The sequence below is a fragment of the Homo sapiens genome, chromosome 10 (genome assembly GCF_000001405.40).
Source record: "Homo sapiens chromosome 10, GRCh38.p14 Primary Assembly".
Lineage (NCBI taxonomy): Eukaryota > Metazoa > Chordata > Mammalia > Primates > Hominidae > Homo > Homo sapiens.
This window is the reverse complement of record NC_000010.11, coordinates 13,334,363-13,346,907: the sequence shown is the minus strand read 5'-3', so window position 1 is coordinate 13,346,907 and position 12,545 is coordinate 13,334,363. Positions and strand designations below refer to the sequence as shown.

General features: G+C 44.8%; 1 protein-coding gene across 8 annotated transcripts in view, besides 3 other annotated features; it reads left to right on the top strand.

Moving 5' to 3' along the window:
* The window catches only part of SEPHS1 (selenophosphate synthetase 1), a 30,866-nt gene that overhangs the window by 1,386 nt on the left and 16,935 nt on the right, over positions 1-12,545 (top strand). For 5 of the 8 annotated variants that reach the window (NM_001195604.2, NM_001375769.1, NM_012247.5 and 2 more), the window contains exons 2-4: positions 1,880-2,150; positions 8,100-8,203; positions 10,558-10,665. In NM_001195604.2, the coding sequence (NP_001182533.1) occupies positions 1,958-2,150; positions 8,100-8,203; positions 10,558-10,665 (405 nt within the window). In that variant the 5' untranslated portion in view covers positions 1,880-1,957. Of the gene's footprint in view, positions 1-1,879; positions 2,151-5,999; positions 6,218-8,099; positions 8,204-10,557; positions 10,666-12,545 lie in introns of all 8 variants that reach the window. The other 3 variants (XM_047424841.1, NM_001195602.2, NR_164738.1) reach the window with 2 other exon arrangements.
* Positions 4,439-5,291: an enhancer, noted in NCBI's record as "H3K4me1 hESC enhancer chr10:13383617-13384469 (GRCh37/hg19 assembly coordinates)". NCBI's record gives its function as "activates a minimal SCP1, AML or CMV promoter by ChIP-STARR-seq in naive H9 embryonic stem cells {active_cell/tissue: H9 hESC(naive)}" and the evidence as "EXISTENCE:reporter gene assay evidence [ECO:0000049][PMID:30033119]".
* Positions 11,124-11,623: an enhancer, noted in NCBI's record as "H3K27ac hESC enhancer chr10:13377285-13377784 (GRCh37/hg19 assembly coordinates)". NCBI's record gives its function as "activates a minimal SCP1, AML or CMV promoter by ChIP-STARR-seq in primed H9 embryonic stem cells {active_cell/tissue: H9 hESC(primed)}" and the evidence as "EXISTENCE:reporter gene assay evidence [ECO:0000049][PMID:30033119]".
* Positions 11,624-12,125: an enhancer, noted in NCBI's record as "H3K27ac hESC enhancer chr10:13376783-13377284 (GRCh37/hg19 assembly coordinates)". NCBI's record gives its function as "activates a minimal SCP1, AML or CMV promoter by ChIP-STARR-seq in primed H9 embryonic stem cells {active_cell/tissue: H9 hESC(primed)}" and the evidence as "EXISTENCE:reporter gene assay evidence [ECO:0000049][PMID:30033119]".

Sequence of the window (12,545 nt, the reverse complement as noted above, 5' to 3'; positions counted from 1 at the left end):
CTTCCTGATACAAGGTGTTTTAAACTTTTTTCCACCCTTAAAACTCTTGAGAAGATAGTAATTTAAAAGGAAGTGATAGCCACACAATTCCCCTCCCCACCTTTTTGGGAGCCAGGAGAGGAATAGATAGGAGGTAGGAAAATAACTGGATGCCTCGTGAGTTGGATTTTTTCTTTTTCTTTTTTTTTTCCTGGTAGGGGTGAGGCTGTGTTAAATGCGAGGTGTTTTTTGAGGAAAGGACTTTGTTGTTTTTGTTGAAAACGCCTTCCAAGTCAAAGTGGTATTCAAACTTTCCCATAACTCTAAGATGGCTTCAAAATTCTCGTCTCTTGTCACTTGCGGCCAGCGCCTGCTCTTTTTGGGCAGGGAGACTTCTTGGAATCGTGTTCGAAGGCTGACTCCTGCTCAGTTGTTACGTTTCCCACCGAAATCATTGCTCATCCCAAACCGTGTTTTTGTGAAGACGGTTTGGATTACTGCCCAAACTCGGGCTTCGTGAGATTTATATGAGCGATGTGCGTCCCAAGGGATGGAAAACTCTATAAATGGGAATTATGTTCTTAATCATAAATTTTATAGGGGAAACCGACCTTAAAACTTGGGGTGTTTGTAATTCTAGTCCCAATAAAGTATCAGTCTGGAGGTTTGTAAACTCGAGGAACACATGTTGTTTTTTCCTTTAGCCCCAAAGGCTAAAAAACGTAGGAGTGCTTGTTCCAGAAACCTAACGGTGGTACACAGGGCCGAAATGCTGCTGATTTAGTATGGCTTAATTTATTGTTTCGGTTCTGCAATGAAATGTTAATGAGGAGTAGCATATTTTGTCAATGATGTGTGTACTAGTTTGTTGGGCTGGATGTTTTGCTTTCTAGGAAATAGCACTGCGTGAAAACATCAGAGAACTTTCCAGGCTTTCGCCTGAAGAACACAGACCTTACTGTGTTAAACTGCCACTGTAGTTTTTAAGTTGTGCCCTTTAGAGAGGACTCCTATTAGTTTTGGATTGCATTGTGTATTTTTTTATTTTTTATTTGAGACGGAGTCTCACTCTCGCCCAGGCTGGAGTGCAGTGGCTCGATCTCGGCTCACTGCAACCTCCGCCTCCCAGGTTCAAGCGATTCTCTTGCCTCAGCCTCCCAAGTAGCTGGGATTACAGGTGCGCACCACCACGCCCAGCTAATTTTTGTATTTTTAGTAGAGACGGGGTTTCGCCATGTTGGCCAGGCTTGTGTCCTGACTTCAGGTGATCCACCCGCGTTGGCCTCCCAAAGTGCCGAGATTGTAGGCATGAGCCACCACGCCCATCCTTGTGTTGTATATTCTTTGGGCTCAGAGGGAAAACGTGTTTTTCTAAAATAAGGATTTAGCATCGTGAAGAATTTTGTCCAATGCATTTACATTAATGCCCTTTTCTGACAAGTTTGTATCGGGCGTTTCATTCTTCTGTGTGATAAAGCAAAAGATATCAAAAGATTTTGCGGAAAAGTCACCTTAGCGAGGACCGCCGCTTTCTGAACCACAGTGCTTCCAGGTTGACACATGAAGTGCCCAGAGGTGCTGTTCTAATGCTGAGTCCTAGAAGAACCTTTGGGATTTGCTGTTCAAGGTGGCACGGTGTCATGTGAACCTGCAGGCTGGCCCTCTTGCCACAGTTAAAACCACAGTCCAGATGTCAGATTTTACATAGATGTCTGTGCTGACGCAGTCCCGTTATGAAAAGATCTATTTTGTCATATGCACTGCTGTGGTGAATATAAGTGGTCTTGATGATTTCAGCCCTTGTCACATTGACTTTTCGCTGTCATGTATTCACTTGATTCGCTGGCAGGTCCCAGTGGGAATTCTTTTCATGGCATCTTTGTGTTTTGGTGACACCCAGGTGGATCCATAAAGAACCCAGCCAACCCGCAGAGGGAGGGGAGGGGCTGAGCTGTGAGGAGAGCGGGGCCCAAGAACCATGTCTACGCGGGAGTCCTTTAACCCGGAAAGTTACGAATTGGACAAAAGCTTCCGGCTAACCAGATTCACTGAACTGAAGGGCACAGGCTGCAAAGTGCCCCAAGATGTCCTGCAAAAATTGCTGGAATCTTTACAGGAGAACCACTTCCAAGAAGATGAGCAGTTTCTGGGAGCCGTTATGCCAAGGCTTGGTAGGTAACCCAGTGTTTCTTTGATGGTCTGCGATCCAATCAGTGAGTCAAAAACTGGATTTCTCGCCTCCCATGTTGCCTATTTATTTTTTATTATTACTTTTTTTGCTTTTATAGATTTGAGGAATACACATGCAGTTTTGTTACATGAATATATTACATAATGGTGAAGACTAGGCTTTTAGTGTAGCCATCACCCAAATAGTGTACATCGTACCCCCTTTATTTTTTTTTAATTTTTGTGGGAAGGATTAGAAGAGCAATCAATGTTATGATTGCTATGTTATGTTCTTGTAACTTATGTAGAGAAAGTACTTGAAACGCATCAAGAGGGGTACTCTTGACAGTTTTTAAATCATGGAGTATGCAATTGAGATTGTTATTACAGTAAAAACTTTTTAATTTTTATTTTCAATTTAATTGAATTGAATTTTCTGTTAGCTGAAGATTAAGCAGAAATACTTTATTCCCTTTTCCTAAAAGGACTCCTAAAATGCTCACATTCCCTTCATTGCCCTAGGAAAGGCGGTTCCAGCCTTAGGGTTCTTGTGCTGTACTTGGATGGCAGTGACTGTGTCAGGAGGGCATTGGGGTTCTCTGCAGGGTGCATCGGGCGAAAAGCGTGTTACGGTGAGGAGGTGGGACTGCTCCAGACCCAGGACTGGATGGATCTGTTCTTGACCCCAGGATGTCATCTGGAACCAGGGCAATGTCTTTTTCTTTACTACATTCCTGATGTCATGAGTGATTTCACTTTTCCCAAACACAGAGCTTAGAAACAAATTCTGGGCTCCTGGGATATTGTTTATTCATGTTTCTTGTGCAGTTTATTAAGTACACAGTACAAGACTGTGATCACTTTTCTTGTGTTCGACGCATAGTTTCGGAGGTTTGGATGTTCGATAATTACTGTGTGACTTGATCAGTTTTCTTCCTTTTTTTTTGAAATGGATTCTCACTCTGTCACCCAGGCTGGAGTGCAGTGGCGTGATCTTGGCTCACTGCAACCTCTGCCTCCTGGGTTCATGCGATTCTTCTGCCTCAGCCTCTTGAGTAGCTGGGATTATAGGCCCCTGCCACATGCCCGGCTAATTTTTGTATTTTTAGTAGAGATGGGAGTTTTACCATGTTGGCCAGGCTGTTCTCGAACTCCTGACCTCAGGTGATCTGCCTGCCTCAGCCTCCCAAAGTGCTGGGATTACAGGTGTAAGCCACCACACCCAGCCAAGGTTTTCATTTCATTTGTTTTTGCCCATTATTTGGTAAGGTTCATTGGTTATGAGCCTGGGGTCTCCTTTACTCCCAGATAGAGAAAGCAGATAAAAGCAGACTTGCTTTTGTTGGAAAGGAAGAAATGTTACACCCCAGTCGCTGGTGACCTGCAGGACTTTGAGGAGCTCAGTTTGAAAACAGTTCCTGCCGTCCAGCTGATGGCCAAGCTGTGGAGAAATACCATGTGAGCGAGCTGGGTTTGATGTTGGCTTATTTGTCGAGAAATGAGAATATACTGAGGAAGCTGTTAGATAACTGTCAAGAAAAAAAGCTATTAATACTTAATGCTCAAAAACCAATGAAATTAAAACATTACGGCATAAAGTAAGAATTACTATTTATAACTTCCTCTGGCACAGTTACTTACTAGTCACTCATATTATGTCATGAATGTCACCCAGCCCTCCTGAGCCTCAGCTTCCTAATCTATAAAATAATAATTACTGTTTGGGGTTGGGTGCGGTGGCTCACACCTGTAATCCCAGCACTTTGGGAGGTCAAGATGGGCAGATCACTCAAGGTCAGGAGTTCAAGACCAGCCTGGGCAAAATGGTGAAACCCATCTCTACTAAAAATACAAAAGTTACCTGGGCTTGCTGGTGTACACCTGTAGTTTCAGCTACTCGGGAGGCTGAGGTGGGAGGATCCCTTGAGCCCGGGAGGCAGAGGCTACAGTGAGCTGAGGTCACACCACTGTACTGCGGCCTGGGAGACAGAGTGAGACCCTGCCTCAAAAAAAAAAAAAAGATTACTGTTTTGCATTGTTGTACCAAAAATGTGTGTAGGTGTGCCATGTATGTCTGTACTTACATATATAATACATGTATGTGTATACCCTCTGTACACAAGTATATATGGTATATATGTATGGGTGTTTTTGACCTTTTTTTTGTTGTTGTTGAGATGAAGTCTCACTGTGTCGCCCAGGCTGGAGTGCAGTGGCACAATCTCAGCTCACTGCAACCTCCGCTTCCCAGGTTCAAGCAGTGATCTCCTGCCTCTGCCTCCCAAGTAGCTGGGACTACAGGCGCATGCCACCACACCCAGCTAAATTTTTTTGTGTTTTTAGTAGAGACGGGGTTTCAAGGTGTTGGCCAGGCTGGTCTCAAGCTCCTGAGCTCAGGTTATCCACCCACCTCAGCCTCCCAAAGTGCTGGGATTACAGGCGTGAGCCACCGCACCCGGCTGTATGTTTATTTTTTTAACTTTTTTTTTTTTTGAGACGGAGTCTCGCTCTGTCGCCCAGGCTGGAGTGCAGTGGCGCGATCTCCGCTCATTGCAAGCTCCGCCTCCCAGGTTCACGCCATCCTCCTGCCTCAGCCTCCCGAGTAGCTGGGACTACAGGCGCCCGCCACCATGCCTGGCTAATTTTTTGTATTTTTAGTAGAGACGGGGTTTCACAGTGGTCTCGATCTCCTGACCTCGTGATCCGCCTGCCTCGGCCTCCCAAAGTGCTGGGATTACAGGCGTGAGACACCGCGCCCCGCCATCTTTTTTTTTTTTTTTTCCTTGAGATAGAGTCTCACTCCATCACCCAGGCTTGAGTACAGTGGTGCAATCTCAGCTCACTGCAACCTCTGCCTCCCGGGTTCAAGGCCCTCCCAGGCCTGATTCTCATGCCTCAGCCTCCCTCCAAGTAGCTGGAATGACAGACGTGCACCACCACACCCAGCTAATTTTTTTGTATTTTTAATAGAGTTAGGGTTTCACTATGTTGGTCAGGCTGGTCTGGAACTCCTGACTCTAAGTGATCTGCCCACCTCGGCCTCCCAAAGTGCTGGGATTAAAGGCATGAGCCCCCGCGCCCGGCCTGTTTATGTTTTTAACTTTTTTCTAATTGAATGTCATGTTTTCTGGCTTCAAAAATGGTGTTAATTGAAGGGTTAACCAAAACAGCTTTTAAATGTACACACGATTACTAAATGTATCCTAATTAAAGAAATGGTAAAAGAAGTGTGCCTTAGAACCAGAGACATTTGTTGCCTGGTGCCTAGGAGCTATCAAGTAATGATTGCTGCTGCTGGCGGGGGCGGTGCAGGGGTTGGGGGTGGGTAGTGGTGTGATAACTTAGGTTGTCTTTCTGATGGAGGATGTCAGTATTGCTGAAAACCTTCCAGCAAGTTTGCCCATTGCCTCCTGGTCATTAAACCTAAACTGTTCTGTCTAGTATTTAAGGCTTCCCCGACCCTGTGGCATTTTCCTCTGTTCCCAGTTACCATCCCTCTGGACCGTCCCTCTGTCTTTCCATTTCAAACGCTAGTTTTTCAAGGCCTGTGGGCATCTCAGGCTCACCCCTTCTCTCTTCCTTCCTTGAAATGTGATTGGTGATTTCTAAACCAATCACTGTAGACCAGTGCTGTCCAAAAATACAATGCAAGCCACATGCGTAATTTTCAAATTCAAAGTAATATTTTTAAAAACCCGATAACAAAAATCAGGTGGAATTAATTATAATCTATTTTATTTAACACAATATATAAAAATGTCTTTTCAGTATGTATATATACGACATTATTAATGAGATGTTGGTTTTTGGTACTAGGTGTTTAAAATCAGTTGTCTGTTTTGTACTTACAGCACCTGTTTGTCAGATGCGCAGCCACCCCCTGTGTCTAGTGTCAACCACATTGGACAGCACCAGACCCTATTCTAGTAGACTGTGGTGGCACAGGTGTGAAAGAGAAACCGTGGATAACGGAGCTGCTTTTCAGCCCTAGGGGCGTGCTCAAGAATCCCCCGTTACTCTGATCAAAGGACTTGCTAAGTTTAGAAATAAAGCGCTTTACAAATCAAATGTATGTAATTCAAATTTAAGATTATTCAAATTAAGAACATTTAAAGCTAACATTCAGCAACAATTTTAGTTTCTCTTTCAGTAGTCCTCCAGTTTAAATGGAAGCCTGAAAGAAAACTGCCTCTTACTGTTTTCCAAAGTGAATAATAATATACTCAGAATAACCAGTTGTCAGAATTATCCATTTAGGGAGAATCCATTGAGTTAAAGAGTGGTATTTCTATTTAGGTGCTAAAGAGTGTGATGAAACAAATTTCTGAGAGGTTGTGCCCATGGGCTGTTTACGTGAATTATCTCACACGTTCTCCTCTGACAGATGAAAACTGATCCAGTGCCTGACATTGTTGAAACTTGCCATTCTGAACTTCACTTCTCCATTCCCTAAGCGAGGTCTTCCAGCAAGAGTTTCTGCTTTGTTATCTAGTGTGATAAAAATCAGCCTGTCTTCACAGACTATGGCTTTTTATTGAGTGAGATTTCATTTTTGCAGCAGGAAAGATCTGGTGCCTCCATGACCCGCCTCTGTGAGGTCTGCTGCTGTCATGAGACCGAGTGAGGCAGTGCTTCACGGCCCTTTCACTTACGCAGAATATTAAAGGTCGTTTTAGTGCGATTCAGATATGATTTAAACTTGTTTGAAATTCTGAATTTATAGGGTAGATTCAGGCACATAATTTGCTTCCTTTTGTCCTAATTCTGGCTTTTTCCCTGCTTTTGGCTATTGGGCTGCAAAGTAGAAGTACAGCATCCCCCTCTGTATCTGCAGAATCCTCGTGGGGGATTCAACCAACCACAGACTGAAAATATGCAGGGAAAGAAGTGGATGGTTGCATCTCAACATGCACAGACTTTTTTTTGTCTTGTCATTATTCCCTAAACAGTACAGCATAACAAATATTTACATCGCATTCACATCGTATTGGGTGTCATAGGTGATCTAGAGATGATTTAAGGTATGTGAGAAGATGTGTGTAGGTTATATGCAAATATTGGGACATTTCAAATCAGGGATTTGAGCATCTGTGGATGTTGGTGTCTGTGGGAGTCCTGGAACCAGTCCCCCACAGATACCAAGGAACAGCTGTCCTCATAAGAGGACAGAAGAGTGTCCTTCTGAGGGGTGTAGGGCTGCTCACTGTGTTCAGCTTTCTTGGTGGGAATGCTAGTCTGAGTTTGTAAAATGCCTGCATTACAAGTAATTTTTAAAGGAGTACAGCCTTATCTCCAAGACAAGGAGTAGCGTATCTTGACTACTACTGGTGGTCTTGGGACTCCTCTGACATAGATGCCAGAGTGTTTATATCCAGGCTTGATTGGAAATTTCCATTGAATTGTAGATTGGGATTTGTCCTTTCATTTCATCTGTGTGTGTGTCATTTTCACTTTTGACTAAAATGTATAAGTAATAATAGCATTTTTCAATGTAAAAATATTTTACATGGTTTCTGATGGGACAATACGATAATGTCTGTAAAGATGTACGCACAATAACTATACTTAAGATAACCCAAGTTCCATTTATAGGATTCTCATCTTCAAAGAAATTGTATACGGTACCAGTCACACGCTACAGTAATACAGTAAAATAATAAAAGTCATACAGTGAAAAAGATTTTTATTCAAGGCATCATTAAGGATTAAAACTATGCCATATTGGAGTTGAGTCTTGATGAGTAACATTTTCATTGGTATTTTCCATCCTAAGCTGGATATGTTTCACGTTTATTTCAGTTACGCTTCTTGATAGGAAACACATGGCTTCATTGGCAGCCTGCAGTTTCCATAAGTATCTTATGAGCTCTTCCTGTTCAGAGCACTGGTGATATAAAATGAAATGGCTTTCCCGTTTTATTTTTGGATGCTAATGACTTCCATCTCCACAGGCATTGGAATGGATACTTGTGTCATTCCTTTGAGGCACGGTGGGCTTTCCTTGGTTCAAACCACAGATTACATTTACCCGATCGTAGACGACCCTTACATGATGGTAAGCGTGAGCCGATGTGTTTTTGTGACTGGAAGGGCTTATTTGTTTGGTTTGGGTTGTGGCTGGGGTTTTGTATGTATCTGTGGGGTTTTGGTTTTATTTCTGTTATATCCCGACTATACTGCCCCACCCTGCCCAGACTCCTGCAGTTGCTGAAGTCAGGCCTGTCCCCTGCCCACACTTGGCACTGGGCATAAAGCAATTAGGGAGGAAGCAGGGAAGGCCCTCTGCTGCTGTTGCAACTGAGTACATGCTGTGAGTAAGAACACCTCTTGTTTAGTAGCATGTCAATGGCCTGTTTTTGTCATTTTCTTCTTTCTTGCACCTTCTCTTCTTTGACATTGGTAACCTCCATCACCCCTGTGTTTTAGGCTGGAGATGTTACTGTCCTCTGTAATAGGACTGATCCTAAATGTTTCCTTCAAGAGATTAAGGAGCTAGTATCTCATCACAATTAGATGCCTCAAACATTAATTCGGATATCTGGTTAATTCACTCAACCCAGCCACTTGCACACCCACCACCGTGTGATGTGCCGCTGTACATAGTAGGTTTCTGACCACTGAGTTAAAGTTCCTGGCTACTGATGATACACTGCTGAGGTGTGTTCCCCAGTTGTTTACTGCGTAGTTGCAGCCAGCCACCCTTTGATCCACCCAACCTTTAACCCCAATTTGCTACCACCCAGGAGGAGCCAGTGGAGAGACTAGGAAAATCTGGTTTGCTATAAAATGCCAGGTGTTCTTCGTGTGTGGCAAGGACAGTGGGATCAGGCTGCACTGTAGGGACTTTATCATGAGGCAGCCACGTGGGGGGTGTTCACCCTCAGGTACCAGTGACAAATACCAGATTATTGGAAACCTATATTTCTTCCGCACATCTGTCCGTTTTCTCCTCTGGAGCAATACTCTTGAGACTGGGCAGGTAAGCCACAGCCCAGGTCCCACATGACCAGGTGGCAGGGATGGCTAAAACCACAGTCCATTGTTTTCCAGCATCTCCTAAAATGAGAGCACCCAGAACAGAAGGGGCGCTAAATCACCACCCCCCTAACTAGCGATTGGCTTGTGCGAGTTGTAGACCACCTGTTGGCCTTGTGGACTGGCTTGATGATACTGAAAGTGTGGCCACAGATGGTTGTTGAGCTGCATTGCTGACCTCCAGGAATGTATAAGAAAGCCTAAAGCAAGCAATTAAACAGCCACTGGAAGTGATAACACTTGGGAGTTTGATTATCCTTATGTCAGAAGGAAAATTTGTATTTTCTCTTTATTGTCTATAAAAGATAAAAATTTAGATAAGGGCAACTTAACTTTTAAAAATCTCCAGTGGCAATAAAAAAATCTTCATTACCACATTTCTGTTGAATTGTATTTTAAAGTTCCTAATAAAATGACATCATTTACTGGGAAATGCTTCTTTTTCTTTTGAAAACAATATGACTTCAGCCCTGGGTATTTTTTTATTTGTTTCTTAAGATGATTTTTCTGTTTATCTCATACATCCTTGAAAAGAAGCTACAAAAATTTTTTTTGTTTTTTTTTTGTTGTTGTTTATTGACAGTCTTGCTCTGTTGCCCAGGCTAGAGTGCAGTGGCACGATCTCAGCTTACTGCAACCTCCACCTCCCAGGTTCAAGCAATTCTCATGCCTCAGGCTCCCAAGTAGCTGAGACTACAGGTGTGCACCACCATGCCCAGCTAATTTTTATATTTTTAGTAGAAACAGCATTTTACCATGTTGGCCAGGCTGGTCTTTAACTCCTGGCCTCAAGTGATCCACCTGATTCGGCCTCTCAAATTGCTGGGATTACAGGCGTGAGCTATCACACCCAGCCTAAGCTGCAAACATTTCTTAATCCAAGTGCACAAAGACTATCTCCATCTCTATAACCACTAAAGCCAGCCATTTTTAGAATCTGTTTGGGATATGTGGCTGTTTCCAACTTTTCTTTAGGAGAGTTGTTTGCAGGCTTTTTCGCTCCATAGCTCTTCCCCCAAGACTGTCGGTTCTAAACTTGCTTCTCCTCCTCATTCGCTGCACATATACCCCTTCCCCTATCTAAATAAATTGCAGACTTCTAAAATTTAGAATGGAGAAAAACTGGTACATTCTTTGTCCTGCACAAGAAAGAGGTGGTAACAGGAATGTCTGAGAAAAAACGAATGGCCTAGTGACTCTGTGATGCAGGAAAGGTTGCCAGTCTGCAAATCATAGAAACTGAGGACCCCATCCTAGTAGCTGCTACTCCTGGAAAGTCTCCACGTTCTCTGTGGAGTCCACTCCATGGCTCACTCAGTTTCTGCAGATGGAAAGTCCCCGGTCGTCCTTTCTCATGTTTCCCTCTCTTCCCAGGGCAGGATAGCGTGTGCCAATGTCCTCAGTGACCTCTATGCAATGGGGGTCACGGAATGTGACAATATGCTGATGCTCCTTGGAGTCAGTAATAAAATGACCGACAGGGTAAGTAGGAGCTACCCGGCTGCTGCCTGGTCCGTGTTGTCCCGGTGGCATCTCTGGCCTTGGTTAGACTTGGTTTCCCATCTAGAAAGCGAGGAGCCCAGGCCATATGGCTCCCTGCACTCCTTCTGGCTCTCCACTTTTTGGCAGTTACCAGTAAATTAAAATGAGGAAGCCTGGCCTAGTCATCTCTGCACTTCTGCCACCTGCTCCCTTTCTCTCTTCCCAGTAGACTGAAACCAAGACTTTTTTTTTTTTTTTTTTTGAGACAGGAGTCTCACTCTGTCGCCCAGGCTGGAGTGTAGTGGCGCAATCTCAGTCCACTGCAACCTCCGCCTCCCGGGTTCAAACAATTCTCCTGCCTCAGCCTCCCAAGTAGCTGGGATTACAGGCACGTACCACCACACCTGGCTATTTTGTGTATTTTTATTAGAGACGGGGTTTTATCACGTTGGCCAGGCTGTTCCTGAACTCCTGACCTCAGGTAATCCACCTATCTCGGCATCCCAAAGTGCTGGGATTGCAGGCGTGAAACACCGTGCCCGGCCCAAGGCATTTGTGTATATTTTTTTTTGTTTTATTGAGACAGAGTCTCACTCTGTCACCCAGGCTAGAGTGTAGTGGCACAAGCTCAGCTCACTGCAACCTCCACCTCCCAGGTTCAAGCGATTCTCCTGCCTCAGCCTCCCAAGTAGCTGGGATTACAGGGGCACACCAGCACCCCCAGCTAATTTTTATATTTTCAGTAGAGATGGGGTTTCACCATGTTGGTCAGGCTGGTCTCGAACTCCTGAGCTCGTGATCCACCCACTTCGGCCTCCCAAAGTGCTGGGATTATAGGCATGAGCCACCGTGCCCGACCTGTGCATTTTTTAAAATAAAGTTTTGGCCATAGTAATGGTGCCTCAGTGTGAATCAGGCACAGCCTTACAGATGTGGGACACGTGGCACTTAGAGGGCACTCCCTCTGCTGTGGCTGGGGATGTCGTGGACGTAGATGGTGACGGGGGATAGGGCCACCAGGGGCTCACGCCTCTGTGTCATCGCCTAGCATTCTGTGCCCTTGCTGCCTGAACCTGTTCTTTGAACCAGAGATGAATTCCTATTTAGATAGACAGGTACTTGTTTTTGTCCCAAGAGCCCCCAACAGTTTGCCCTGCCTTAGAGAAACTTGAGTTTCCAGTAGGCTCTTTCCTGCCCTTGAACATGGGCTGTAGTCATCAGTGGTGCATGGTGGTCTTGGCGCAGGCTCTGTCAGTGTGGGTTACTCGTAGCCTGCAGCCAAGCCTTGGTAGGATGGATGCCTACTGCAGGGCAGGGGACCTGTGCTTAGGAAGCCAGTCTTGAGATTCTCAAGGAGCACTGGACAGCTGGCTTCCAGCAGTCATCAGACCTAGGGCTGGTCCTGTGCACTGAGTCCAGACAATGTTGGTGTCTGGGCTTTATTTACATTGTTGTCTAGAACATCTTCCAGCATTGGATAAAATGATGACAATGTGAAATATTTTCTAGCTTTTGTTTTTGTTTGTTTTTGAGACAAGATCTCCCTGTGTTGCCCAGGTTGGAGTGCAGTGGTGTGATGAGAGCTCACTGCAGCAGCCTCAGCCTCCCGGGCTCAAGACATCCTCCCACTTCAGCCTCCGGAATAGCTGGGACCACAGGCACATGCCACCACACCAAGCAATATTTTTTTTTTTTGTTTTTGAGATGAAGTCTCACTCTTGTGCCCAGGGCTGGAGTGCAGTGATGCGATCTTGGCTAACTACAACCTCTGCCTCCCAGGTTCAAGCGATTCTCCTGCCTCAGCCTCCCAAGTAGCTGGGATTACAGGCGCATGCTACCACACCCGGCTAATTTTTGTATTTTTAGTAGAGACGGGGTTT